General features: G+C 57.1%; 1 protein-coding gene and 1 pseudogene across 33 annotated transcripts in view, besides 13 other annotated features; both read right to left on the bottom strand.

The window, feature by feature from the left end:
- NDRG4 (NDRG family member 4) overlaps nt 1-23,739 on the bottom strand; it is a 51,673-nt gene that overhangs the window by 4,877 nt on the left and 23,057 nt on the right. For 9 of the 33 annotated variants that reach the window (XM_047434509.1, XM_006721256.4, NM_001378339.1 and 6 more), the window contains 15 exons: nt 22,661-22,755; nt 15,503-15,547; nt 9,434-9,523; nt 6,608-6,713; nt 6,237-6,357; nt 6,090-6,152; nt 5,862-5,922; nt 4,038-4,124; nt 3,897-3,953; nt 3,496-3,599; nt 2,647-2,703; nt 2,512-2,563; nt 1,502-1,549; nt 1,322-1,357; nt 1,159-1,210 (listed from right to left, as the gene is read on the bottom strand). In XM_047434509.1, the coding sequence (XP_047290465.1) occupies nt 1,159-1,210; nt 1,322-1,357; nt 1,502-1,549; nt 2,512-2,563; nt 2,647-2,703; nt 3,496-3,599; nt 3,897-3,953; nt 4,038-4,124; nt 5,862-5,922; nt 6,090-6,152; nt 6,237-6,357; nt 6,608-6,713; nt 9,434-9,523; nt 15,503-15,547; nt 22,661-22,732 (1,051 nt within the window). In that variant the 5' untranslated portion in view covers nt 22,733-22,755. Of the gene's footprint in view, nt 1-1,158; nt 1,211-1,321; nt 1,358-1,501; nt 1,550-2,511; nt 2,564-2,646; nt 2,704-3,495; nt 3,600-3,896; nt 3,954-4,037; nt 4,125-5,861; nt 5,923-6,089; nt 6,153-6,236; nt 6,358-6,607; nt 6,806-9,433; nt 9,524-10,241; nt 10,369-15,502; nt 15,548-22,660; nt 22,756-23,739 lie in introns of those variants that run through there. The other 24 variants (NM_001378346.1, NM_001378345.1, NM_020465.4 and 21 more) reach the window with 7 other exon arrangements.
- Nucleotides 8,059-8,875: an enhancer, noted in NCBI's record as "H3K27ac-H3K4me1 hESC enhancer chr16:58535540-58536356 (GRCh37/hg19 assembly coordinates)". NCBI's record gives its function as "activates a minimal SCP1, AML or CMV promoter by ChIP-STARR-seq in naive H9 embryonic stem cells {active_cell/tissue: H9 hESC(naive)}" and the evidence as "EXISTENCE:reporter gene assay evidence [ECO:0000049][PMID:30033119]".
- Nucleotides 8,417-8,466: an enhancer, noted in NCBI's record as "active region_10928". NCBI's record gives its function as "activates an Ori minimal core promoter by ATAC-STARR-seq in GM12878 lymphoblastoid cells {active_cell/tissue: GM12878}" and the evidence as "EXISTENCE:reporter gene assay evidence [ECO:0000049][PMID:35858748]".
- Nucleotides 8,876-9,693: an enhancer, noted in NCBI's record as "H3K27ac-H3K4me1 hESC enhancer chr16:58534722-58535539 (GRCh37/hg19 assembly coordinates)". NCBI's record gives its function as "activates a minimal SCP1, AML or CMV promoter by ChIP-STARR-seq in primed H9 embryonic stem cells {active_cell/tissue: H9 hESC(primed)}" and the evidence as "EXISTENCE:reporter gene assay evidence [ECO:0000049][PMID:30033119]".
- Nucleotides 9,694-10,510: an enhancer, noted in NCBI's record as "H3K27ac-H3K4me1 hESC enhancer chr16:58533905-58534721 (GRCh37/hg19 assembly coordinates)". NCBI's record gives its function as "activates a minimal SCP1, AML or CMV promoter by ChIP-STARR-seq in primed H9 embryonic stem cells {active_cell/tissue: H9 hESC(primed)}" and the evidence as "EXISTENCE:reporter gene assay evidence [ECO:0000049][PMID:30033119]".
- Nucleotides 9,694-10,539: a biological region, named in NCBI's record as "H3K27ac-H3K4me1 hESC enhancer GRCh37_chr16:58533905-58534721".
- Nucleotides 10,390-10,449: a silencer, noted in NCBI's record as "silent region_7553". NCBI's record gives its function as "represses an Ori minimal core promoter by ATAC-STARR-seq in GM12878 lymphoblastoid cells {active_cell/tissue: GM12878}" and the evidence as "EXISTENCE:reporter gene assay evidence [ECO:0000049][PMID:35858748]".
- Nucleotides 10,460-10,539: a silencer, noted in NCBI's record as "silent region_7552". NCBI's record gives its function as "represses an Ori minimal core promoter by ATAC-STARR-seq in GM12878 lymphoblastoid cells {active_cell/tissue: GM12878}" and the evidence as "EXISTENCE:reporter gene assay evidence [ECO:0000049][PMID:35858748]".
- RNU6-103P (RNA, U6 small nuclear 103, pseudogene) lies at nt 13,497-13,603 on the bottom strand (annotated as a pseudogene).
- Nucleotides 13,769-14,324: an enhancer, noted in NCBI's record as "H3K4me1 hESC enhancer chr16:58530091-58530646 (GRCh37/hg19 assembly coordinates)". NCBI's record gives its function as "activates a minimal SCP1, AML or CMV promoter by ChIP-STARR-seq in naive H9 embryonic stem cells {active_cell/tissue: H9 hESC(naive)}" and the evidence as "EXISTENCE:reporter gene assay evidence [ECO:0000049][PMID:30033119]".
- Nucleotides 14,325-14,880: an enhancer, noted in NCBI's record as "H3K27ac-H3K4me1 hESC enhancer chr16:58529535-58530090 (GRCh37/hg19 assembly coordinates)". NCBI's record gives its function as "activates a minimal SCP1, AML or CMV promoter by ChIP-STARR-seq in naive H9 embryonic stem cells {active_cell/tissue: H9 hESC(naive)}" and the evidence as "EXISTENCE:reporter gene assay evidence [ECO:0000049][PMID:30033119]".
- Nucleotides 17,492-17,786: a silencer, noted in NCBI's record as "tiled region #13659; K562 Repressive DNase matched - State 20:ReprD". NCBI's record gives its function as "represses a minimal TATA promoter and a strong SV40 promoter by Sharpr-MPRA in K562 cells {active_cell/tissue: K562}" and the evidence as "EXISTENCE:reporter gene assay evidence [ECO:0000049][PMID:27701403]".
- Nucleotides 22,520-22,679: an enhancer, noted in NCBI's record as "active region_10927". NCBI's record gives its function as "activates an Ori minimal core promoter by ATAC-STARR-seq in GM12878 lymphoblastoid cells {active_cell/tissue: GM12878}" and the evidence as "EXISTENCE:reporter gene assay evidence [ECO:0000049][PMID:35858748]".
- Nucleotides 22,520-22,940: a biological region, named in NCBI's record as "ReSE screen-validated silencer GRCh37_chr16:58521475-58521826".
- Nucleotides 22,589-22,940: a silencer, noted in NCBI's record as "fragment chr16:58521475-58521826 (GRCh37/hg19 assembly coordinates)". NCBI's record gives its function as "represses an EF-1alpha promoter that drives an FKBP-Casp9 reporter gene in an ReSE screen in K562 erythroleukemia cells {active_cell/tissue: K562}" and the evidence as "EXISTENCE:reporter gene assay evidence [ECO:0000049][PMID:32094911]".

Below are 23,739 nucleotides of genomic sequence, written 5' to 3'. Positions count from 1 at the left end.
GGGCAGGGCCAGAGGCTTCTGGAAGCCCACTCCTGCCTGCCCACCCAGCAGTGGCCCCCAGAAGGATCTCTGGCCCAAGGAAGCCCTGACAGGTGGGGTGCTTATCCCCTCACCATTCTCCTAGGCCTCAGTCTCCTGCATACAGAATGGGGGAGGCCTGCCCGCTCTGTGCCCTTCCCAGCTTGGGGCTGCCTGGTGGAGTTTCTCCCCAGGACCCTGAGAACGCGTCTCAGCGCCTGACAATGTTCTTCCGTTCACCTCGCAAATGCTTGCTGTGCCCTGATTCCAGACTCTGTGCTCCTGCGGAGCCTCCCTGTGGGCCCTAGGGCTCTGCCCTGCTCCAGAGAGCATTCTATTCCTGGGTGTCCTCCCCAGCCTTCCCACAGGCAGCCCTCCTGTTTGCCCTGGAGATAGCTCCAGAGGCTGAAGTCTGGAGGGGAACAAAAAACAAACTGAGAAGAGGAAGTTTGCCTCCTGGCAGTGGGGACCTGGAGGAACAGGTATGTCTTGGAGGGAAGGGGGAAGTCAAGGAGACACACAAGGGGTGTGTTGTGTGTGTGTGTGTGTGTGTCTGTGTGTGTGTACCTGGTTCCACCCCAGACCCAGATTTTCAGATCTGCCAAGCCAGGTTCAGCTGCTTTCAGCTCTCTGAATGCCAGGCGGCCCCAGTTGCCTTCCCTGGCCCCAAACTCCAAGCCCACTCCTATGATGCCCCTGGGTGCAGCCATGAGTTGTTTCAAAAGGCCTTCTCAGGTGCCATAGACCCAGCTCTGACCCCAAGCCCTGGGGCGGGTGAGGGGAGTGTGCCTCACCCCCAGACAGGCTTCCCTGGCAGGACACGGCCCCTGGCCCTGGACCCCCAGCACGGAAGGAAGAGTCCCTTCCCCCAGTAGGCCCAGCACTGCCATCAGAACAGTGCGCCAAGTCCTCCCTAAGGGCAAAGGGGAGTTGGGCACAGCCTGGGATGGCCAACTTGCAACTCAGGTGGCATCTGTGGGGCCCAGCATCCGGGGCCCAGGTCACACAAAACTCCTATGCTTATGGGCTCCCTACTACCACCTGACACCACGTGCCAGCCCTGCAAACAGGAGCCCCAACCCCAGCACTGCCTGCCCACCGGTCTCTAGGTGGTGTGGGGTGGGGTGGAAATGTACTCACTGTAGCCCATGCCTTGCAGGAAGTATTTGAAGGCTTCAGTCAGCTTCCCTGGCTGCGGAGGGCAGGACAAGCACATGCTTTCATTGGCTGCCTAGGATTAGCAGGTAGGGTAGAGGCTTCCCCCTCCCCATAGATGTAAGGGCAGGAGGGCCAAAAGTCTCACCTGTGTGACCTGGGGCAGCCCTCCAGAGTCTGCCATCTGCAAGGGAGAGAGTGGGGTGACCTGAGCAGGGCCCTCACTCCAGGACAAGCTCCCACCCTGGCTGGGACCCCAGGAAAACACCTCCCTGAGGTTGGGCCCATGCTAGGGAAGCTGGCCCAGGGCTGGGGAAGAAAGCCTCACCTTCAGGAAGGTCGTAGTGGTCGGGTCCAGTTTGGAGTTGCACTCCACCTGAGGACAAGGAGCCAGCTTCAGCAACAGCCCCTGCCCCTCCCCACCCCCATTGCCAAGGCAGGTTTGATGCCCCAAGCTCGGGGAGGAGAGGGGGTGCAGGGAGGCAGAGGGAGGCCCAGCAGCTGTGACAGGCTGCTCCTCCCAGGCTTTCTTCTCCCAGGGCTCCCCATGTTCTTGGAGACCAGTTTAACAGCCCCACTGAAGGGCCTGGGACCCTTGGAGCCCACTCACAACTGCTAGGAGTGGGAGTCAGGCGAGGGCTGGGCTGCCGTGGTGGGACTGGCCTGGGAAAGCCCCAGTGCCCTCGGCAGTGAGGTGAGGGGTGCCGAGGGTCTGAGAGAGACTGGGTGGAGGGGGCTGGCACAGCCCACCACCCTGCTCTTCCAGGACCTCCCAGTGGGCATGGGAAAGCCTGGTATTTTCAGGGCGCACGGGGCTGCTCTGGGCACTTCTGGACCCTGCAGCTTCCCAGCAGCTCTGTGCTGATGGGGCATCCCAGCCTCAGGCCACCTGCTCCCAGAGTTCCAGCAGGAGAGGTGACACACGGCCCCCAAACATAACCGCTGCAGGTGACGGGAAAAGGGAGACCGTGCCGCTGTATGCGTTAATGATTTATAATGGCTTGATCACATTTTAGAAAAAAGATCGTACACCCTGGGCCTGAGGTGGGTAGGGACCAAGTTGGGGCTGTGCTGCTGGGGAGGGAAGAGGGGACCTTCTGATGGCCCAGCCCTGGCCCCAGCTCTCCCCATTTCCAGGCCTCCCCAGCCAGAAGGATGGGGGCTATGCCAGATGTGAGGCTTGGCAAGACTGTGGGAAAGTGGACAAGAAGCCCACCGTCCACTGCTGGCCCTGGAGGCTCCCCTGGGCTGGATCAAGAATTGTCCCTGCTGGGCAGGGGCCAGTGAGCCCCTCACCCCTACCTCCCACCCCCAGTGAGCCCACAGCCCCTCACTTACCACCCCGTCCTCAGCGGGTGCATTATCCCCAACCACCAGCATCACGGGGCAGCTGCAGATACAGAGGAAAAGGGCTGTCTGGCTGGGTCATGGGGGCAAAGGCCAGGGCAGGCCAGAGGGCCAGGGGCCACTCACCGGAGCGTCTTGGCATTGGGCACCGTTCCAGGCCGGTTAATGTCCAGGTCTCTGCGGCTGTGGGGCAGGGGGAGGGGCAGAGGCAGAGGTGGGCACCCCAGGACAGGATGAGGGGCATCCCAAGCCCAACACTGCCAATTGGTAAAGCAGGGAGGCGTGGACCTGCTCTGCATAAATGAACTGGAGGCTCCCTGTCACGGCTTTTTGGACTCCCTAGCACATACCAGGTGGGCTCTCAAATTTTGCTCTCTATCCCCCTCAGAGCCATGCGCACCGCCACCTGTGCTGTGGGAGTTTCTGCTACTGGCCTGTCTCCTGGACCATATGGGATGGCAGGCCCTGGGTCTCTCTATTCTCTATTGTTTTGTTTTCTTAGCACCATGCACACAGCAGGTGCTTAATATTTGTAGAAGAATGAGAAGGAGGGCACGTGAGTGAGGGGGCCTGGCCACCTTCCTGCAGGGCAGGGCAGCCCCTAAAGGGGGCTCCAAGGAGCACAGCTTGAAAACCACAGGCTCATCCGACCTCTTCCTCATTTTGCAGACGTCAACATCAAGGCTGGGTTACTGGAGTCAGGGATGTCACTAACACCCCCAACATTCCCAAGCGGGAAGCCCCCAGGGGAGGAGGAAAAGTGGAAGAGCCCAAGGCCCGGAGTCTGAAACCCTGTTCCCCTCTGCCCCTCACAGGGTGTGACCTTGTGCAGGAAATGACCTCCTTTGAGGCCCAATATCGTGCCCATCTACAAACCAGGGCAAGGGTGTTGTCTGCCTGCCTCCCTCAGGGGGCAGTGTGCAAGGGCCCCCACTGGGGTGTGCTGGGTCCCAGGGCTGCTGATCCCACCCGCACCTGTTGTACATGTTCCAGAAGAGCTGCAGGTTGGCCTGGTTCACCACGTTCCCAATCTGCTGCCGGTAGCTCTGCACCAACTCTGTGTTGTTCACCAGCTCCTCCTAGGCCCAGGGAGATGGATGGAGGCATGCAGAGGGGCAGACAGAGGGACGCAGGCTTAGAGGGGGCTGGCAGATGTCACTGCCAGAGTGGCCCTTGCCCCACTCAGCAGGCAGGGGAGACAGGGTGGGGGCAGGTAGGAGGTGTGGGGCCTTGGGAGGGGATGTCTGTCTTTCAGATGGCTTAGCATCTGGAGTGAGCCAGGTCAGATGCCAAAGACACCCGCCTGCCTCCTACCGAGCCAGCTGGGAGGGGCAAATCCCAGATCACCCCAGATCTGCAGAAGTTCCCCCCCTTACCTGGCTGAAGAGGTGGGAGAGCACCGTGTCGGGTAAAGTGCTAGTTAGGCCGGAGAGCTGCAGGGAGCAGGGCGCCAGCGTGAGTGCCGCCCCTCACCCCACCCTAGGTATACCCACCCCACCCCCGGTCACCACACACACCTTGGTGGCAGCCCAGTCTATCCAGCCTTTGCCATTGGGGTCGATGTTCACCAGCACCAGCCCCTCCACCAGGTCGGGGAAGATGAGCTGCAGTAAGAGGGGAAACAGGGCCGGGCGGGGCCAGGATGGGTGCAGATGGCAGAAACACTCTGTAAAGTCTTCAAGGTGCTGCTGATCAGCCACCCGGCTACAGCCGGGTCTGTGCATGCACACCCATGTCCAGATGCCCCTGCCTGTCCTCCTCTCACTGAACCCTTCACAGTTCTTGGATTTATTTAGAATCTCTATCATTGTTTCCACCCCTACACACACACAGACACACACACACACACACACACACGCTCTTTCAACAGAATCAGCTCTTAATATATTTTTGAAGTGCAAAATTGAGTATTAAACATCTTAAAATCTTAAGCATGTTGTTTTTTTGCTTTTATAGAGAATGAAGCCCTGGCCAGGCGCCGTGGCTCACGCCTGTAATCCCAGCACTTTGGGAGGCCAAGGCGGGCTGATCACCTGAGGTCAGGCATACGAGACCAGCCTAGCCAACATGGTGAAGCCCTGTCTCTAATAAAAATACAAAAATTAGCCAGGCGTGGTGGCATGCACCTGTAGTCTCAGCTACTTAGGAGGCTGAGGCAGGAGAATTGCTTGAACCAGGGAGGTGGAGGTTGCAGTGGGCCGAGATCATGCCACTGCACTCCAGCCTGGACGACAGAGCAAGACTCCATCTCAAAAAAAAAAAAAAAAAAAAAAAAAAGAAAATGAAGCCCTCATGATATAAATTAAGAAAAAAACAACCTTTTCAAAGTCTGTTTTGCCGTAGGCATTGCAAAAGAGGTATTTTCTTTTCAACTGTTAGACTGTGCTTAAAGAAAAACAGCATAACCACATCAAGCTTGTCTAGGGTGGCAGGGAATGGCCTCCAGTTAACAAAATGATTAAGTGCTGACATTGCAACTGGAGTTGAAAATTCTTGGTCATTTCTTTTGAAGTAGTAAATGTCTTCGATCGTGAAAAATTAGTCTTTTGGGTTTTTGTTTTTTTTTTTTTTGCTTGTTTTTAGAGATGAAAAGCTTGTGAATTCCTACCCAACAATGATTTTTTTTATTTTTTTATTTTTTTGAGACAGAGTCTCGCTCTGTTGCCCAGGCTGGAGTGCAGTGGCGCGATCTCAGCTCACTGCAAGCTCCGCCTCCCGGGTTCACGCCTTTCTCCTGCCTCAGCCTCCCGAGTAGCTGGGACTACAGGCGCCCGCCACTACGCCCGGCTAATTTTTTGTATTTTTAGTAGAGACTGGGTTTCACCGTGTTAGCCAGGATGGTCTTGATCTCCTGACCTCGTGATCTGCCCACCTTGGCCTCCCAAAGTGCTGGGATTACAGGTGTGAGCCACCGACAATGATGTTTTTGAAATGTGCCTTCTTTAAACCTCCCAACCATAATAAAATTTTTTGCTAAAAAAATTATTCATGTTGAAATACCATGGCAATTAGTGAAGGACGATCCTTATTTAGTGGCTAGAGCAGTTAGTTGTATAGTTTGTTGCTACTAGAAATTCTGGCTTTGGATAATAGTTTAAGCAAGTTATAGTTTCTAGTCTCTTGAGAAAACTATATGGAGAAAGGAACCTCTTTTTTAAAAAAGTTAATTTCCCTGGAGGAAAAAAGAAAAAAGAGGTTTTCTACATAAAGAGGAGGTGGGAGGAGGAGAAGCGAGAGCAGGGACACTTCCTCAAGGCTGAAGGGTTCCCCCCAGTCCCCACCACTGGGACATCCCTGGCTTGCCCTGGTGTTTGGGGTAATGGGGGCATGGGGAGACTCACTGCAAACTTGGCCAGCACATAGGCTCCGGCGCCCACTCCGATGCCAATCACATACTTGAACCTGGTGCAGAGCAGGCTGGTCACTCTAGGGCTAGGGGTGCCATTTCCCATACATGTCATCCAGAGCAGGCCCTGCCCATAGCCTGAAGCCCTCAGCTGGAGCCAGGTGGCTCTGCAGTTGGGGTAGGCACCCCTGGGCCCTAGCGCAGGGGCTGTGCGGGGACTCACCCGAAATGCTGCACCACGCTGGGGAGCATGGCAGCCAGCTGCTCCATGGAGGGGAACTGGTACCTGCAGGCAGAGCAGGAGGTCAGGGCCCAGGTGTGGCCTCAGGTGCAGAGCTGGAGACAGGCAGAGGGGGCTCAGGGTACCTACCCCTGAGGAAACTGCGACGCCCCCACCTGTTGTCCAGGGGCATCCACGTGACACACCACAAAGTGCTTGGTGATCTCCTGCATGTCCTCGAAGTTGAAGAAGGTGTTGAAGCATAGTTTGTCTGCAAAGACACACTTCCACTATGGCTGAGCAGAGGGGCCGGGGGACTGGAAGGAAGGCCGGGCCCCCAGAGGGCAGGCAAGGCAGAAGTGTAAGCCTCGGGTCCGTCGGGGAAATGGAGGCCCGGAGGGCGAAGGCAACAGAGGTGAGTGTGAGTGGGGCTGACAGGGCCCTGTGGGGAGGGTGGGGGGCCTCACCGCTCTGGCTGATGGGAGGCAGAGGAGGGCTGACTGAGGCTGGGCTGCACTTACGGTTGAGGCCCACATCATGGTAGGTGAGGATGGCTGGGCGGTTCCCCTTGGGGGAGCCCCGGATCACTACATGCAGAAGGCCGTAGGGTGTCTCGATGTCATGTTCCTGAAGGGGAGAGACCGTGCTGGACACTCTGGGCAGCCTCCGCTCTTGGCTCCTCTGGGGAATGAGGTGACGCAGCCTGGTACCTGTTAGGCCTGTGGTAGAGCCCCTACTTGGGGCATCCTGTTCTCATCACCCCAAGAAGCCCCCAGAGAGGACTGAATGGATGGAACACCCCTTCTCAGGGCTGTTCAGTACAGAGACAATGTGAACTGATCTGCATGGGGAAGGTCTGGTCCTCTCTGCAAACCAGCCACTGGTTTGTGCTGTCACTGTCCTCCGCCCTTGAGGGTCCAGGGAGGCTGTTTTTCTCCATCTTGCAGCAGCCCCTCCTGGACAGCTCTGCCTCCCCAGCCCAAGTCCCTCTCACACTCAGAACTCTCAGGCACTTCCTGCTGCTGCAGGGGAACGGCCTCAGTGGTCCTGCCTGGAATCCTCAGAAAACACCCCGTGCCAGCCAAGCCTAGCCCCGACCCCGGCACTGCCCCTGGCTCCCACTCTAAGGCTCTTGCGCATGTGGTTCCTTCCACCTTGAACGCCCTTCTGTGTGAGCCCAGCATCCTCAAGGGCTCCCTTCAGGCAGGCCCGGGTCAGACCCCCCTCCCCATCCCCTCTAGAGGCCTTCTGCAGAGCCTGCTCTGGGATCCTCTTGAGTTCACACCTTTGGTTTTGCTGCTCAAGGTCATTACTTCCTCAGGAAGACCTGGTTCTACCCCTTACTTGTGACTGAGCATGTCATGTTACTTCTCTGCTGTGCCTCAGCCTCTCCATCCAGAACCACCTCACAGGGACTTTGCGGGAACTAGACAAGCCAATGTTTGTGGAGCATTTAGCACTTGGAGAAAGCCCCAGAAAGGGGGCTGTTATGCTAGGGCATCCCTGAGCCTTGGGAGAATGCCCTTCTCGCTGTTCCTTTGCAAACTGGGCATTCTTAGCCACTCGGATGGGCAAACTTCAAGAGGGGCCATCTGAGCTAAATAAACCGATCCTCTCTGCATCATTGTGAGCCCTGGGAACCACGTGAGTGGCCCAGTGAGTTGGAGGTGGGGCTGGGGTCAAGGACATGAAAGAAACATCAAGCGACTGAGCACCTACTGTGTGCCAGGCTTCCTGCATGTTACCCAAGAGACAGGAACCCTAGTCCCTGTTTTGCAGGTGAGGACACTTTGGTTTAGAAAGAACCTGAGTTCCTGCCTCCAAATGGGAAAGGAGATTTAGACAGCAGAAGACAGCTGCTCAGGGGCCAGCATTAGTGGGTCTGGTCTCAGAGGACCACTGTCCAGGCCTGTGTCTCCAGTGTGGAGTGACAAGCTGGCACCAACCTGGTGGCCAAAGGCTCTACCCTGGAGAACACTCTTTGACTTGCAGGCCCTTTTTATTTCCCTGTTGTCCTCCAGGAGAGCCCAGGTAATGAGCCTTAGGGTGAGCCATGCGGCTGATTGCACCACCCAGGGGATGAGGAGGCCACACCAGGGCTGAGAGGGGACAGACCACACAGCCCCTCCCATCCCAGGCCTATCCTTTCTCGGGGCCCATCAAATCCAGGAACACTTCCCCGCCACTGACCACTGACCCACAGTTTTCTCATTTACTTCCCACATAGGCCCAAGCCATAGAGGAGGAAATTGAGGCTAGGAAAGGGAAATGACTTGCCCAAGGTCAATCCCAGAGTAGGGAGGGCAGGCCCTGCCAGGTGCCAGTCTCAGGGGCCAGGGCGGTGCACTGAAGGCTGCATGTTCACAGGAGATCAGGTTCCACCCGAGGGAGCTCCTGACCAGGCAGCCCTTTCACAGCCACCTGTGAGTTCTCTCAGCTCTGGAGGGTGGGGCTGCAAAAGAACTGCAATGCGCCTCCTGCTGCATAAAGGACAGTTATCCTCCTGGGGTCAGACGTCGAGAGCCCAGGGCGGTGCCTTCCAAACCCAGACCCGCAGCGTGCGGGTCCGCCTGAGGGGTGTGAGGGGTGTCTGCTCTCTGCTGCTGAGGAGGCCCCACTGTCTTCTCCCAGCCCTGGTGTGGCCGCCCCTGTCCCCATCCCCCTGAGGTGACGTGATCAGGCTCTACTAGGGCTCATCTCCCAGGATGGGAAGGGCTGGGGCTGGGCCTGGGCGTCACCGGGCTACCTGTCCTACGAAGTCCAGTGACCTTCGCTGAACCCTGCTGCGAACCTCCCTAACGCCTTCTCTCACCCTCTGCGGAGAGCTCAGGACTCAGTTCAGCCTGATCGAAGCCAAACATCCCCGTCCCTTGGAGCGCTGCGCAAGGGCAGCCCCACAAGGGCCACAGCGCGGTGCACTCTGAGGCCCCCAACCCTCAGGGCCGAGCACTCCCATTGGCTCTGGGTGACGTCAGAGCCGGCCCCGCCTCCAGGTAGGCGCAGGCGGGAAGCACTGCGGCAGCAGGGGAGGGGGCTGTGGCGGCTCCTCTCGGTCGGTCCGTCTCCCCTCGCCTGTGACCTTGAGCACTGGAGGGGAGTGGGGCTTTGAGCCGGGCTTTGCGCCGGTGTGGGAGTTGGTGCTGGTGGTGCTGTGGTTCGGCCTGTCAGCCGCATCAATAATTCAGGGGACAGGGTCTGCATGGGCGGGCAGGTGCTGACGTCGTCACCTCCGTGCGTGCGGGGTGACCTATCGTCTGCGGAACCGGCAGGGCAGGCGTGTGGGGCCCGGGGGTGGGGGTGAGTCTGCCCCTGCCTCTCCCTCCTGAGGAAGAATGGGGCCGGGGTACCTGATGCCCCGGCGAGAGGAGGTGCCCTGGGCTCCACCTGGGGTCCCCTAGCCCTGCCAGCTTCACGGCTCCAGCGTTGCCTTCCCCCACCTACAAAATAAGGCAGGCAGGCAACCCCTCCTCGTTCCTCCCCAGCAGGGACCCCTGCCTGAAAGGCTGTCATTCCTGTGTGGCCCAGACCTCCTTGCCTCTGCCCGGCTGGCGCAGCAGAGCCCTGGGAACTGTGAGGTGGCTCCTAAGGAAGAGGCCGCCTGTCCTTCCCATCACACTGGCGCAGCCATCCAAACAAGCTAGACGGCCGCCCACTGGGACGGCAGCCCCTGCACGCACAGACCCGGCACGCACACTGGGCACACAGCCTCGGGGGCTCACCAAGGACACCCCCGCCCCCTGGCCTGATGGCCCCAGGCATCACCAAGGCAGACACCATCCAAGCGCACACCAGAGGGCACACGGTCAGAGGGACATGCAGGCACTAGCGCCCGGGTCCACACGGGCAATGCAGCCAAGTCAGACAGTGCCTTCCACGTTCCATTTCCTGCAGATATGTCACCCACCCCCCAACCACACGCTCCCCCCAGCCCCTGCTATGGGCTCTGACTAGCAGCTGCCCCCAGCCACTCCTGCAAACAGGATCACCAGGGAACCTGGAGCACTCTGGCCGTGTCTCAGTGACCCCAGGGTGAGGCTATTTGAAGGCCGGGCTGCCACCAGATGTGGGTTGAGGGGGGCACTTCCTCCCTGCGGTGGGTCATAAGGATGCACCATCCTCCCGGCCCACCTTGATGCCCGCAGCGCCCTCACTCACCCCATCCCAGCACTCCGGCATCTTGCCGAGGGAGGGAACCCGCCTCTACCAGGAAGGACAAACAAAGGCCTGAGTCACTCGGGTCCAGAGGGCGGGGGCAGCTCGAGTGGGAGATGGTCGGCTCTGTGATGGGGCACAGCTCCTGGGCCATTTATACAGGGATCCTGGCCCAGCCTAGCTAGCCCCTCCTCCCCGCAGGGTTTCTGAGCAGCCACTCGCTTACCAGGAGCCCCAGCTCCCATATTGGCTGCTGGGAGACAAGCCTGGCTCCAATTGGCTTCTGAAGTCCTCCTTGCCCCAGCCCTGTCACTGCTCCTCCCACCCCAGCCACACATCATCCTTGATGGTCCCCAGCCCCTGCATCCGCCCCCAGCACATAGGCACACGCCAACAGCTGCAGCTCACACGGGATCCTCCGAATACAAAAGCCGAGACCACACGTACAGACTCACCCATGTCAGGTACACACAGGGTCGTCACAGACATGCACAGCTTACCAATGCGGGGCAGGGCAGGGTGCATGGGCACTGCCCAGACAGCTAGAGCCCTTGACCCACACCTTGGGGAGTATGGAGGGCCCGAGAGGGCCCCAAGCCCAACATCTTGGGGACCAGACCCCCACGCCCAGCCTTCCCATTAGGAAGGTTCCATCGCTTAACCTTGTGGAGGCCTGGGGAGCTGCTGCTTTCTGGGGCAACTTGGGTTATCACCCTGCTTCAAGGGGCTGCTCCTTCTCCACCCACCAGGGATGAAAATCCCACCTTGCCCACGCAGATACAGGGGGTTTCCCCACATGCTGAAAATGGAGTTTGGGGGCCGGGGGCCAGGGGCCCTGGGCAGATAGCAGGGCCAGGGGTATGGTCAGGCACACACCAGCTCTGCCCTCCCCACCCTCACCCTGCTGCCAGGGGCTCCAGACCACCAGGGAGAGGAAGCGGGGCTAGGAGGCAGCTTGCTGACATTGACATGCCCACCTCCTGTAGACCCACCCGGCCCTCGTTCCCAGAGGCAACCAGTTTGGGGCTTGGCTCTCGGGTCTCTGGGGAGCAGAACACTAGGTCTATCTCAGGCTCCGTGCCCTGTTCTCCTGGGCAGCAAGGATCTGGGTGGCGAGCTCGCCCGAGGCCTGCAGGTGGAGTGAGCAGAGGAGAAGAAAGGCCAAGAAGTGCACAGGAGGAGAGGAAATAGGCCAGAGAGGGAAGCAGAGGAGGGGGCCCAAGGCTGGGAGAGCAGGAGCCACAGAGAGAAGGGGGCTGCTGCGTGCCTATGCTCCCAAATCCATGAAGATTATATGTATTATCGTTGCAACTGCCTGTGCAGTAGGCACTGCTGTTTCTCCCATTTATATATGGAGGCTCAGAGAGGTTGACTGACTTGCCCAAGGTCACACAGCAAAGAAGTGGCAGACCTATGAGTGGGATCAGGGTTTGGCTGGCAAGACCTGACCCTGCCTTGTCTGGCCACGATAACTGCACAACTGCCAGAAAAGGGGCCAACAGTTTGGAGAGGCACACAGACTGCCCCATTTCTCTCCTGCCAGGGCCTGGGCAAGGGTGGGGTCAGGGCACAGAGCCTGAGATAGCCCTAGTGTCCTGCTCCCCAGATACCCGAGAGCCAAGCCCCAAACTGGTTGCCTCCAGGAACAAGGGCCGGGTGGGTCTACAGGAGGTGGGCATGTCAACGTCAGTAGCTGCCTCCTATCCGGCTTCCTCTCCCTGTCTTGCTGAAGAAGGAACACGCCACTCACCCCAGCCCATGCTGATGGCCCTGCATGCTGACTGGCTGCCCTTGGAGAAAGTGGTCATCTCTTCATCTCTGGGTACCTGCTGACCTGGTCGACACCTGCTATGTACACTATTGCTGGTCATGTCCTCTGCCTGGGGGCACCTATTCCATCTCTCACCTCTTACTCTGGAGGCCTAGGGAAGACTGACAGGCCCTGTGCTCCCCAGGGCAGCAGGAAGTAGAATGGGGAGTCCCCCTGGCCCGTCACCTCCTGGCCATGCTCCCCATTCCTGCAGGCACTGTGGCACAGGAAGAGGCTTGGAAAACTGAGGCACAGCCCTGCCCTCTGCCCACAATGCCCTCCCATGTCCCCCAAGGCCCCACCCAATCCTACGCCCACTCCAACCTCTGACCCCTGAGTGGCCTCTCCCCACCTTTGGACCCAGGTGACAAGCTGACCTGCGACACTGCCCACTCCAAGCCACAGCCTCCATGACTGCTCAGCTGTCTGCAAACCCACAGACGTGGGTTTAAGTCCTTCCTGGCCCCCTACCAGCCGGGTGACCTTGGGCAAGATTTTTTTTTTAACCTCTCTGTGTCTCAGGCTTCTAATTGTAAAGCAGGGACTGTGTGCCTTTCTCACCAAGCTGCTGTGAGAATCAGAAAAAACTGCAGAAATCACTCTAGATCTGACCCCACCCCTGCCCAGGTCCTGGCAGGGGAGAAATGAGGCAGCCTGTGTGCCTCTCCAAATTGTTGGCCCTTTTTCTGGTGGTTGTGCAGTTACAGTGGCCAGACAAGGCAGGCTCAGGTCTTGCCAGCCAAACCCAGGTCTTGCCAGCCAAACCCTGGTGCCACTCATAGCTCTGCCACTTCTTTGCTGTGTGACCTTGGGGAAGTCAATCAACCTCTCTGAGCCTCCGTATGTAAATGGGAGAAACAGCAGTGCCTACTGCACAGGCAGCTGCAAGGATAATACATATAATCCTCATGGACCTATGAGAAGGGATGAGGAAACTGAGAGTTGGAGAGGTTAGGTAATTTCCTCACTTGGCTAGTAAGCAGCGGCAGCTACTAGTACCCCAGCACTCTGGGTGGGCCTGAGGTCTCAGAATCAAGAGTGGCAAACACTATGTTCAAATGTCCTCCATGTGCCAGGCTTTCTTGGAGTGCTTTACCCATTCTCTCTATCCCTCTTTTTTTTTCTTCTTCTTCTTTTTTTGGAGACATGGTCTTGCTCTGTTGCCCAGGCTGGAGTGCAATGGTGCAATCTCTGCTCACTGCAACCTCCGCCTCCCGGGTTCAAGCCATTCTCCTGCCTCAGCCTCCCAAGTAGCTGGGACTACCAGCGCCTGCCACCACACCTGGCTAATTATTGTATTTTTAGTAGAGATGGGGTTTCACTATATTGGCAAGGCTGGCCTCAAACTCCTGACCTCAAGTGATGCACCTGCCTCAGCCTCCGAAAGTGCTGAGATTACAGGTATGAGTCACCACACCCAGCCTTTATCCTCTTTTTGGAAAATATTTTTAAGTATGGAAGGCTTCACGAATATGTGGGTCATTCTTGTACAGGGGTCGTGCTCATCTTCTCTGTATCATTCCAATTTTGGTATATGTGCTGCTGGGGCGAGCACTCATTTTCTCTCTTAATACCCTCTTTACAAATGAGGCAAATAAAGCACAGGGAGGTTTGGTAACCTGCCTAACATCACACAGCTAGTGGGCACAGAGCCAGGAACCACACCCAGGCAGTTTGGTGCTAACTCCACACTCTGGTGGCCACTCGTCACGGTCAGCTGAGTGTCCATATGAGGGGCCCATGGGCACCATCGCCTTAGAAACACTCGGGAGGTCCGTGCTGCCTGTCTCCCTGAAAATGCGGTAGACAAATGGAGTGACTTGGGCTGGAGGTCACATGCTTGGAAGTGGCGGGGCCAGAACCTAGGTCTGTCTGGCTCATGTTAGTCCCTCTGCTATACTACCTCCCCCACTGGCTGCCCCCACGGAGGCAGGGGACAGTGACAACGCCTGCCATAGTGAGCAGGAGATAAAATCCCTGCCAGGTCTTGGCCCAGATAACGACCATCCATTCTTGTGGCTGCTTTTCTAAAACAAAAAACGAAAAAAATGCTGCCTCCATGTGGTGTGACAGGAGTGGACAGGAAGGTGCCTTTTAATGCAACCTGCCTTTTACCAAGCAGAGGATCCTGAGAACCGGGGTCCCACACACCCTGGGCCCCGCAACTCCGGGGCTGCAGCTCAGAGGGCTCAGGGGCCAGAGGCAGCTTCGCAGCAGCAGTTGGGAACCCAGAGGTATGGTAGGGTCTCCTCCACGACTCCAGGATTCCCCTCTGCCTGTCCCCCACACCGTGGGCCTGTGTGCTGGGGCTGGCATCAGCACTGTTGGCGTCGGCCTCCCACACTGTGGGACCAGTGTGTTGAGGCACCGGCTGGCTGCTCTGAGATTTTACTTGGCCAACCCCCTCCTCCAGGGCCCATTTGCCTGCATAGCTCATCCTCATTTGCAGCATGGAGGACAAAGAAAATCCCCTGGTGAGCCTGCCCTGATCTCCGGCTGTCCCTTCCCACCAGCCTGGGCCAGCTCCCGACCACTTCCCTCCCATCCCACCTCCTGGGCTCCCATTCACTCCCCACTGCCGGAACCCTAGCCTCTCCTTCCAGCTCCAGAGCCCTTTGTGCTTGGAGATGGCATTCCCGGAGGATCTGAGCACATGTACATTGGCTGCCCTGAAGTCTCCCCTCTCGTCCTTGAAGTGGCGCGTGACCGAGGGACCAGCACACAGGCCCAGATTCTCACACTGATCCTCGCGTTGCTCCCACTGGGGGACGAGCCAAAGGGCAGCCCCGCCTCCGTGTCACCCCTGCATCCAGACCACTTGGCTGGTGCTGTCACGGGGCTTGGAGGCTGACCCAAAACCAGGTCAGGCCCAGGCAAGGACAGAGACTCGGGAGCTGCTTCCACCTTACCAGGAGGAAGGGTCTGAATTGGTTCAGCATGTCGGGATGGCCAGTGGGGCCCCAGAACCCAGCAGGGTTCCCTTGTGTCTGCTGTCAGGCATTTTCCCAGACCCGGAAATCAATGGTCACTGTGGGACTCAGAGGGGAGAAACGACTGGCCGAGTGAGCAACATCATCACCCGGAGGAATAAAAACAAAGGGCGCTTTCAGTTTCCACGGAGAACCTGGCATCAACTAAGGAGGACAGGGTTGTCCTGGCAACAGCTGTCATGGAAACAGGAGCTATTTTAGAGTCAACCTGCCTTTCATTGGAGGAAAATGCTGATTCAGATGACAACATCCCTCACTCTCTTTTCCATTCTCACTCCCCCTAGAGGCCCCGTCTCTTCCCTGCTGCTCGCAGAAGCAGGGCCAGTTCATCTCCCACCCCAGCATCTCTCTGTTAGGCAGGGGGCACACAGAAGGGCTGTGACCCTCCTCTGGGACCTGGCCAGGTGGGGTGAGGGGCTGCCAGCTGTCAGTCCCACATCTTGGGGGTCTGAGCCTTGACCTACCTTCCAGTCTGTGTCTGCAGCCAAGAGGAAGGCATCGGAGCTCTCCTAGGGGAAGGCAAACAGAGGGGGTGGCAAGTTAGGCCCTGGCTGGTCTGGGGAGCCCGTGGGGCCTTAGCAGACTCAATTTCTGTCCCCTAGTCTGTCTTTTCTCTTTTCTTTTCTTTTTTTTTTTTTTTAGAGACAGGGTCTCACTCTATCACCCAGGCTGGAGTGCAGTGGTGCAATCACAGCTCACTGTATCCTCCAACTCCTGGGTTCAAATGATCCTCCTGTCTTGGCCTCCTAAAGCGCTGGGATTACAGGCATGAAACACCGCACCCAGCCCACCAGTCTGTCTCAATGTTAACAAAAGTGACCAAGGGCTCACCGAAGTGCCAGGCATTGGCTACCAAGTACTTGGTGGAGGAGCGTGTGAGCGTCCTCATTAAGGAGGTGTGGATTCCATCTTACAGGCCACAAGGGTGAGGCTCAGAGAGGCTGTCACAGGGCTAGAAAGTGCTGGAATGTCCCACTGCAAATCCTTGCTGTTGGTCACTTTGCCCTTCTGCTCCCATAGATGTTTTTCATGGTCTGACCATCAGGCCACAAGGGTGGAAGGAAGGGAGGGAAGGGGGGAGGTGGGCGTGACTAACATGCCCACTTGTAGGGATGGGGAAGCTGAGGCCCACACAGTGAGGGGGAAAGAGGGACCTTTTCCAATCCACACAAAGTTACAGTGGCAGCTGCTCCCACCTCTCCAGACCTGGTCGCTTTGTGCCTCAGATCACTGGAGCTTACTTCACAGTGAACCGTTTGAGTCTGGCTAGTGCGTGTTCTACCCACCGGACCGCGGGCACCACGAGGGCGGGACCACATCTAGCTGTGCTCTCAGTATGATGCTGGCATGGAAGGGGCTCCCCAGACACAAACAGATCTGGATGAACAATCAGGCTTCACCGATGAGGGGAGAGAGGCTCAAAATGCACCCACAGGTTACGAGGCTGCACAGATGGCTGGGGAGGAGCGGGGGCTGGAACCCCGCGTCTGAGTTGCCAGGCTCTCCCTGAGGCCGAGGGGCCCACAGACACTCTGCGGGGGCCTGGCTCTGGCTGTGCGACTCACCCACTCTGGGTCCCCGTCTCCCCATCTGTACAACAAGACAGCTGGCCAGCTCAGACTCGGGCCACTTTCAGGCCTGGTGAGGGAAACTAATCAGGGACCAGCACACGTCCAGGTAAAGGAGAACTCACAGGTTCTGCCTTGCCTTCCCCTGCGTCTGCCTAGAAACCTCTCTGCCCCGCTCTGCGAGGCTGTGAACTCCCGGGCAGCTCACTCAGCCTCCGAGCCTCAGTGTTGTGAGGATTAGAGGAGAAGCTCAGTGTTGCCCATCGTTCTGCCCTTTGTATCCCAGCACTGGACTGTGCCTGCTACAGATCCTCCTAAGGAATAAATACATGGATTGGCCAGGCATGGTGGCTCATGCCTGTAATCCCAGCACTTTGGGAAGCTGAGGCGGGCAGATCACCTGAGGCCAGGAGTTCGAGACCAGCCTGGCCAACGTGTCAAAACCGTGTCTCTACTAAAAATACAAAAATTAGCTGGGTGTGGTGGCACATGCCTGTAATCCCAGCTGCTAGGGAGGCTGAGGCAGGAGAATCACTTGAACCTGGGAGGCAGAGGTTGCAGTGAGCTGAGACTGCACTACTGCACTCCAGCTTGCGTGATAGAGTGAGACTCTGTCTCAAAAACAAACAAACAAACAAAAACAAACCACGGATGACTGAGACAGTCACATGAGAAATAGGGTGCCACAGGAGGATGAGGGAAGCAGTCAGCTAGGTAAGTACAAGGAGGAAAATGACCCCAAATCACAGGAGTGGAAAGCAGAAGAATGAAACCAGTATTTCTGCCATTTTTCCCAAAATAAGGAAGAGTTCAGCCACCTGCATTCCAGCAGGCCAGGTGGTGGAGAAAAATCAGAGGGCACTAGGGGTTCCCATGCCCAAAGGGGAAAGCCAGGCTTTGGGCTGCCTGCGACTGTCACATAGAGAATGGCCACACCCACTTGGGCTTCTTCTGCAGATTCGTTCCAGGCCTGTGGTGGCTCTGCAGGGAGGAGGGAAGGAGAGGAGGGAAAGGATGGGGCTGGAGGGGGAGGACAAGGGCCTGGGGCTGATCATGAATCTCTCACTCAAAGACCTTGCACAAGCGGGCTGAGGAGAAGGAAGGGGAGATGTCTATACTCGGGACCTTAAGAGGGCAATTATCTCAGAGAAGGACAGAGGCGGCAGTTTTGTTACAAGCAAAAGCTAACAAAAAAGAAGGCCGGGCGTGGTCACTCACACCTGCAATTCCTGCACTTTGGAAGGCCGAGGCAAGAGGATCACTTGAGCCCAGGAGGTCCAGGCTGCAGTGAGCTAAGATTGTGGCACTACACTCCAGACTGGGTGACAGGGCGAGACTGTCTGTCTGTCTCTCACACACACACACACACACACACACACACACACACACACACACACACACACACACACACACACGGTGGAGCAGATAATGGCAGGGTGTGCTGTATGCTCTCTGGGTCTGGGGGCCCCAGGAGATGAAGGGTGTGGGAGGGGAAGGACTCAAAAGCCAAGAAAATGCAGGAAGAATAGAAGCCCATGCAGAGGCCCCTGAAGTCCCGTGGGAACAGGGTGAGCACGAGGAGGAGAACAGGTGGCAGTGCGGGCCCAGCTGAGGGAGGCAGAGGAGTGGTGTGTGGGAGGCAGGATGGGGACATAGGAGCAGAGGAACCCAGACAGGCCAGGCACTGGAGTCTCCAAAGGCAAAAGCCAGGCTCCAGCAGTGGGCGGGCAGGCTGTGAGTAGATGTGTGGAAATCCTCACTTCCCACTGGACTGAAAGAATTTGCACCTGGCAAATGGCAGAACATTTAAAAAGTGAACAGGGTGCCAGGTGAAGTGGCTCACGATTGTAATCCCAGCTACTTGGGAGGCTGAGGTGGGAGAAATGCCTGAGGCCAGGAGTTCGAGACCAGCCTGGGCAACATAGAAAGATCCCATGTCTCTACAAAATAGAAAAATGAGACAGGCATGGTGGTGCATGCCTGTAGTCCCAGCTACTCAGGAGGCTGAAGTAGGAGGATCACTTGAGCCCTCTCTAACCTCCCTGAAGGAGGAGGCTGTTATGGTCACACCCCTTGCACTCTAGCCTGGGTGCCAGAGCCAGACTTATCTCTAAACAAAAAATAAATAAAAAGTGAAAAGGATGGGGCTGGGCACAGTGGATCATGCCTGTAATCCCAGCACTTTGGGAGGCCAAGGCGAGCCAATCACCTGAGGTTGGGAGTTTGAGGCCAGCCTGACCAACATGGAGAAACTCCATCTCTACTAAAAATACAAAATTAGCCGGGTGTGGTGGCTCATGCCTGTAATCCCAGCTACTTGGGAGGCTGAGGCAGGAGAATCACTTGAATTGGGGAGGCGGAGGTTGTGGTGAGCTGAGATCGCGCCATTGCATTCCAGCCTGGGCAACAAAAGCAAAACTCTGTCTTAAATAAAATGAAAAAAAAAAAAGTGAAAAGGATGGATGCTTTCAGCACTGCAGCTGGAAAAGGAGAATCGTCTGTGAGCGCCACAGCCTGAGAGAGCCAGACTAGCTCTTGAAGACAGAGAGAGGGGGTAGGACTGCATGGGGTGCCACGCTGCAGCATCCAGGAGGCTGTGTCGGGTGTGGGGTGGGGCTTTATTTATTTAGAGACAGAGTCTTACTCTGTCTCCCAGGCTGGAGTGCACTGGTGAGATCTGGGCTCACTGCCACCTCCACCTCCCGGGTTGAAGTGATTCTCCTGCCTCAGCCTCCCGAGTAGCTGGGATTATAGGAGCTCACCACCACATCTGGCTAATTTTGTATTTTTAGTAGAGACAGGGTTTCACCATGTTGGTCAGGCTGGTCTCGAACTCCTGACCTCAAGTGATCCGCTCGCCTCGGCCTCCCAAAGTGCTGGGATTATAGGTGTGAGCCACCATGCCCGGCCGGCTTTTATTTTGTTTTTGAGACAGAGCCTCGCTCTGTCGCCCAGGCTGGAGTGTAGTGGTGTAATCTTGGCTCACTGCAACCTCCACCTCCCAGGTTCAAGTGATTCTCCTGCTTCAGCCTCCCGAATAGCTGGGAGTACAGGCATGCGCCACCATGCCCAGCTAATTTTTATAATTTTAGTAGAGATGGGGTTTCGCCATGTTGGCCAGGCTGGTCTTGAACTCCGGATCTCAGGTGACCCGCCCACCTTGGGCTCCCAAAGTGCTGGGATTACAGGCGTGAGCCAACATGTCTGGCGGGAATGGGGCTTTTGAGGTGCCTTTGGAAAAAGCAGATGTGCCCAGGCCCACAGCATGGGGCCTGTGCTGACTCATGAAAGAGGGAAGAAGCCTCCACAGGATCTGAAACGGAGACCCTCATGCAGGGGTGAGGATGTTATAGTGGCAAACTCTGGTCCTCGTGATGGGTAGATAGAGACACCACCTGCAGTAGGGCCAGGGTGCCCAGAGGGCATGAGGAGGCAGGAGTGTGCCCACTGAGTCAGGGAGGGAGGGGCAGTGAGGGCTGGGCCAGGGTAGGCAGAGAAGGGTGCCCAGCTGAGGTGGGCAGTGGAAGAGACAGGCATGGAAGTTACCAGGCCAAGATGCCCTAGTTCTCCCCATTGTACTGGGGGGCCCTGCTGGACCACAGAGGCACACTCCATACCAGCAGGCAGCACCTCCGTGCGGCTGTCCCGCAACCTGCACACTTCAGCACTTGCGATGGGATGCAGGGGTCCCCAAGGGCCACCATCTGCCCTATCAAAACCTCACAGGAGAACTCTGCTTTCATGCCTCAAAAGACAGGCTGGTAGGCAGGCACAGAGGCTCAGGCCTGTAATCCCAGCACTTAGGAAGGCTGAGGTAGGAGGATCACTTGCACCCAGAAGTTCAAGACCAGTCTGGGCAACAGAGCAAGACTGATCTCTACAAAATGGAAAAATTAGCCAGTTGTGGTGGCACATGCCTAAGATCCTCGCTACTCGGGAGGCTGAGGCAGGAGGATCACTTGAGCCCAGGAAGTTGAGGCTGCAGTGGGCTATGATGGCACTACTGCACTCCAGCCTGGGTGACAGAGTGAGACCCTGCTTCAGAAGAAAAGAAAAAAAAAGAAAGAAAGAAGGAAAAGACAGAAAGAAAGACACAGGCAGGAGTGGGGAGTAGGGGGGCACTTTTTAGAAAGTTCTGAGAAACTTCTTCCTTCTGAGCTGTATCACCATCTGTGGCTTCCACCCAGCCCATGTTTTTACTGAGAGCTATGTGTGCTGTGTGAGGCACTGGGGAGACCTGGGGGTGCAAAACAGAACAGATCTCTGTCCTGGGAACCTGCGGGGCGGGGCAGACACAAACCAGGCTAAGTGACACGGCCAGGGCCAGAGCATGTTGGGGTTTCAATATTAGACCCAGGGGTTAGAGAGGGACTCTCTGAGGAGGGAGCATTTGAGCAGAGGCCTGAATAAAACAAGGAGTGGAGCCAGCCCTGCAAATTTCTGGGCTAGTGTATCCCAAGCAGATGTACTAGGAATATGATGGGCATGTTCAAGGAGGCTAGAGAGAAGTAAGCTGGGAACAGGCGGGGGAGCTGGTGCAGATTGCATCCTGGGTCCCATGTCTGACTGAGATGGCTCGTTAAGCAGAGAAGTGACATGGCTTATTTTTTATTTATTTATGTTTTGAGACAGTCTTGCTCTGTTGCCCAGGCTGGAGTGCGGCGGTGCAGTCTTGGGGTTGAACCTCCCGGGTTCAAGCGATTCTGCCTCCTGAGTAGCTGGGATTACAGGCGCCCACTACCACGCCCGGGCTAATTTTTGTATTTTTAGTAGAGACAGGGTTTCACCATGTTGGCCAGGCTGGTCTCAAACTGCTGACCTCAGGTGATCTGCCCACCTCGGCCTCCCAAAGTGCTGGGATTATAGGTGTGAGCCACCATGCCCAGCTCATGGCTTATTTTAAAAGGGTACAGAGCGAAGGCAGAAGCAAAAAGACCAGCAAGGAGGCTTCTGCAAGCATCCTGGGGTAGCAGCTGATGGAGGCTCAGACCAGGGAGCAAGTAAACTTAGAATAAAGGGCTTGAAAAATGTGCAGTCACCACCCCACCAGGGCAGCTTATCCGTGGCTGCCCTCGGATAAGCCAGGCCTTATCAGTTAACTCAAGGTTCTGTCTGGAAGATAACACTGTACTCTTCCTGGGGGCAGGACTGCAACCTCATGTGGTTGGATCCCTGGATCCCTGGCTGGCTGCACAGTTCCAATCCTGGCTGCTCAGTAGCTCCTGGGCTCCCCTCCTGGTGATGGGAGGCTGGGGAGGCAGGGCAGGGCAGACTACAGTGCCCTGCAGATTTGAGGGGCTGGGCTCCTGGCCTCCCCATCTGTAAAAGAAGGGGGTCCGGGCAGCATAACTTGCAGGGACCCCAGCCCTGATGCCTCAGAATCCAACAAGCAGGGAACCCACACTTTTTGAAAGTGGTTTGTGTCACAGTCACCAGTATGACGGCACTGGGAGGGAGGGAAAGGGAAGGTGGACAGGGTGTTGTCACAACAAAAAAGGGTGGCATGAAAGTCACTCTGGCCTCTAATGCCTTGTCCCTTGACGGAGGGGTCTTTGGGACAAAATCATAACCTGTGATGCCTCTGTCCCACTGCCCCGGGTGGCACTGTTGGTTAGACTTGCCCAGGTGCCGCAGAGGCTTGGGAGGCAGATAAGGAAAAGAGCGCACAGACGGAGGAGCAGCATGCCCTGCTGGAGCCAGCACTTGGGGCTCCTGGGCTGTCCAGAAACAGGGGTTGATATGGCCTCATTCCCCACTAGCTGTGTGACCTTGGCCAACTGGGTTCACCTCTCTGTGCCTCGGTTTTCTCGTCATTAAAGCCGGGATAACTCTCCTGTGGCGCCTTTAGCCTCAAAGACGGCTGAAGCCACCGTGAGGCTGGCTGGGTCTGGGTGGCACTCAGGCCTGCCGGAACTCCCCCCACAGGCAGGGACAGGGCTTCTCGGTGTGGCTGGCCCTAGGGAGGGTCGGCTGCAGGAAAGGCACGCGGTCTCCCTCTTGGCCACGAGGTGGCGCGCTCGGCCCTAAGACCTCAAAGGCGCGACTCCAACTCACCAGCTCGGTGGCGTCCTGGCCCCGGAGCAGCGGCTTCTCCTCAGGGAATCGCAGCTCCTGCAGCCCGGCCATGGTCACGTCGTGGAGCAGGAGGCCTAGGGAGGGAGGGCGAGGTTGAGGCCTGCTGCGGCGGGGACGCCCGGGCGGAGAAGGACAGCGCAAGTCGGGGCTGGGGCGGGAGCGCGGAAACCAGATGCACTGTCCCCCTGGCCCCCAAGCGCAGCCCACTCAGGCACTTAGGGCCCCCAGGCCTCCGTCTGCAAGACCCGCCTGTCTGGCTTGGGGGATACCATTATAGTATTTGTTTTTCCGTTTTTCTTTTTTTTTTTTTTACACGGAGTCTCACTCTGTCACCCAGGCTGGAGTGCAGTGGCGTAATCTTGGCTCGCTGCAACCTTCGCCTCCTGAGTTCAAGTGATTCTCCTTCCTCAGCCTCCCAAGTAGCTGGGATTACAGGTGCACACCACCACCTTGCTAATTTTTGTGTTTTTTAGTAAAGACGGGGTTTCACCATGGTGGTCAGCCTGGTCTCAAACTCCTGACCTCAAGTGATCCACCCGTCTTGGTCTCCCAAAGTGTTGAGATTTCAGGTGTGAGCCACCATGCCCAGCCTATTATTTGCTCTTAAAAATTAAAACGTTTCCAAATAAAACAGAAAAGCAACGTCATGATTCCTAAAACAATTACATGCAACATTCTGCCTTTATTGAGAAACAGAAGGGCACGTGCAGGGAGGCCAAACACAGGGTCAGACGCAGACAGAAGTCCCCTGCCGAGGGCCTCTGGTGTCTGAAGGGGACAGTGGGGTTCTGGAGGATAGAGAGACTGGAGAGGAACAGAGCTGAGAGCTCCCCAGAGGGCTCCCAGGACAAGCCTCTGTGAAGATGGGCCAGGGAGGGGTGGGTGGGAGTAGAGGCCCTGGTGGTGTGGCAGGCCGAGTGATGTTGAAAGAGGGGGTGCAGGTCTCAGTTCAGGCCACCAACAGGGAGGGGTGATACACAGGGGCTGCTCAGCTGCCAGAGGGTGGGCCCGGGCCCTAATTGCTGGGAAACCCCAGGGGTTTCTGAACCTCAGAGGAA

The sequence above is a fragment of the Homo sapiens genome, chromosome 16, assembly GCF_000001405.40.
Source record: "Homo sapiens chromosome 16, GRCh38.p14 Primary Assembly".
Lineage (NCBI taxonomy): Eukaryota > Metazoa > Chordata > Mammalia > Primates > Hominidae > Homo > Homo sapiens.
This window is presented reverse-complemented; position numbering and strand designations above follow the sequence as displayed.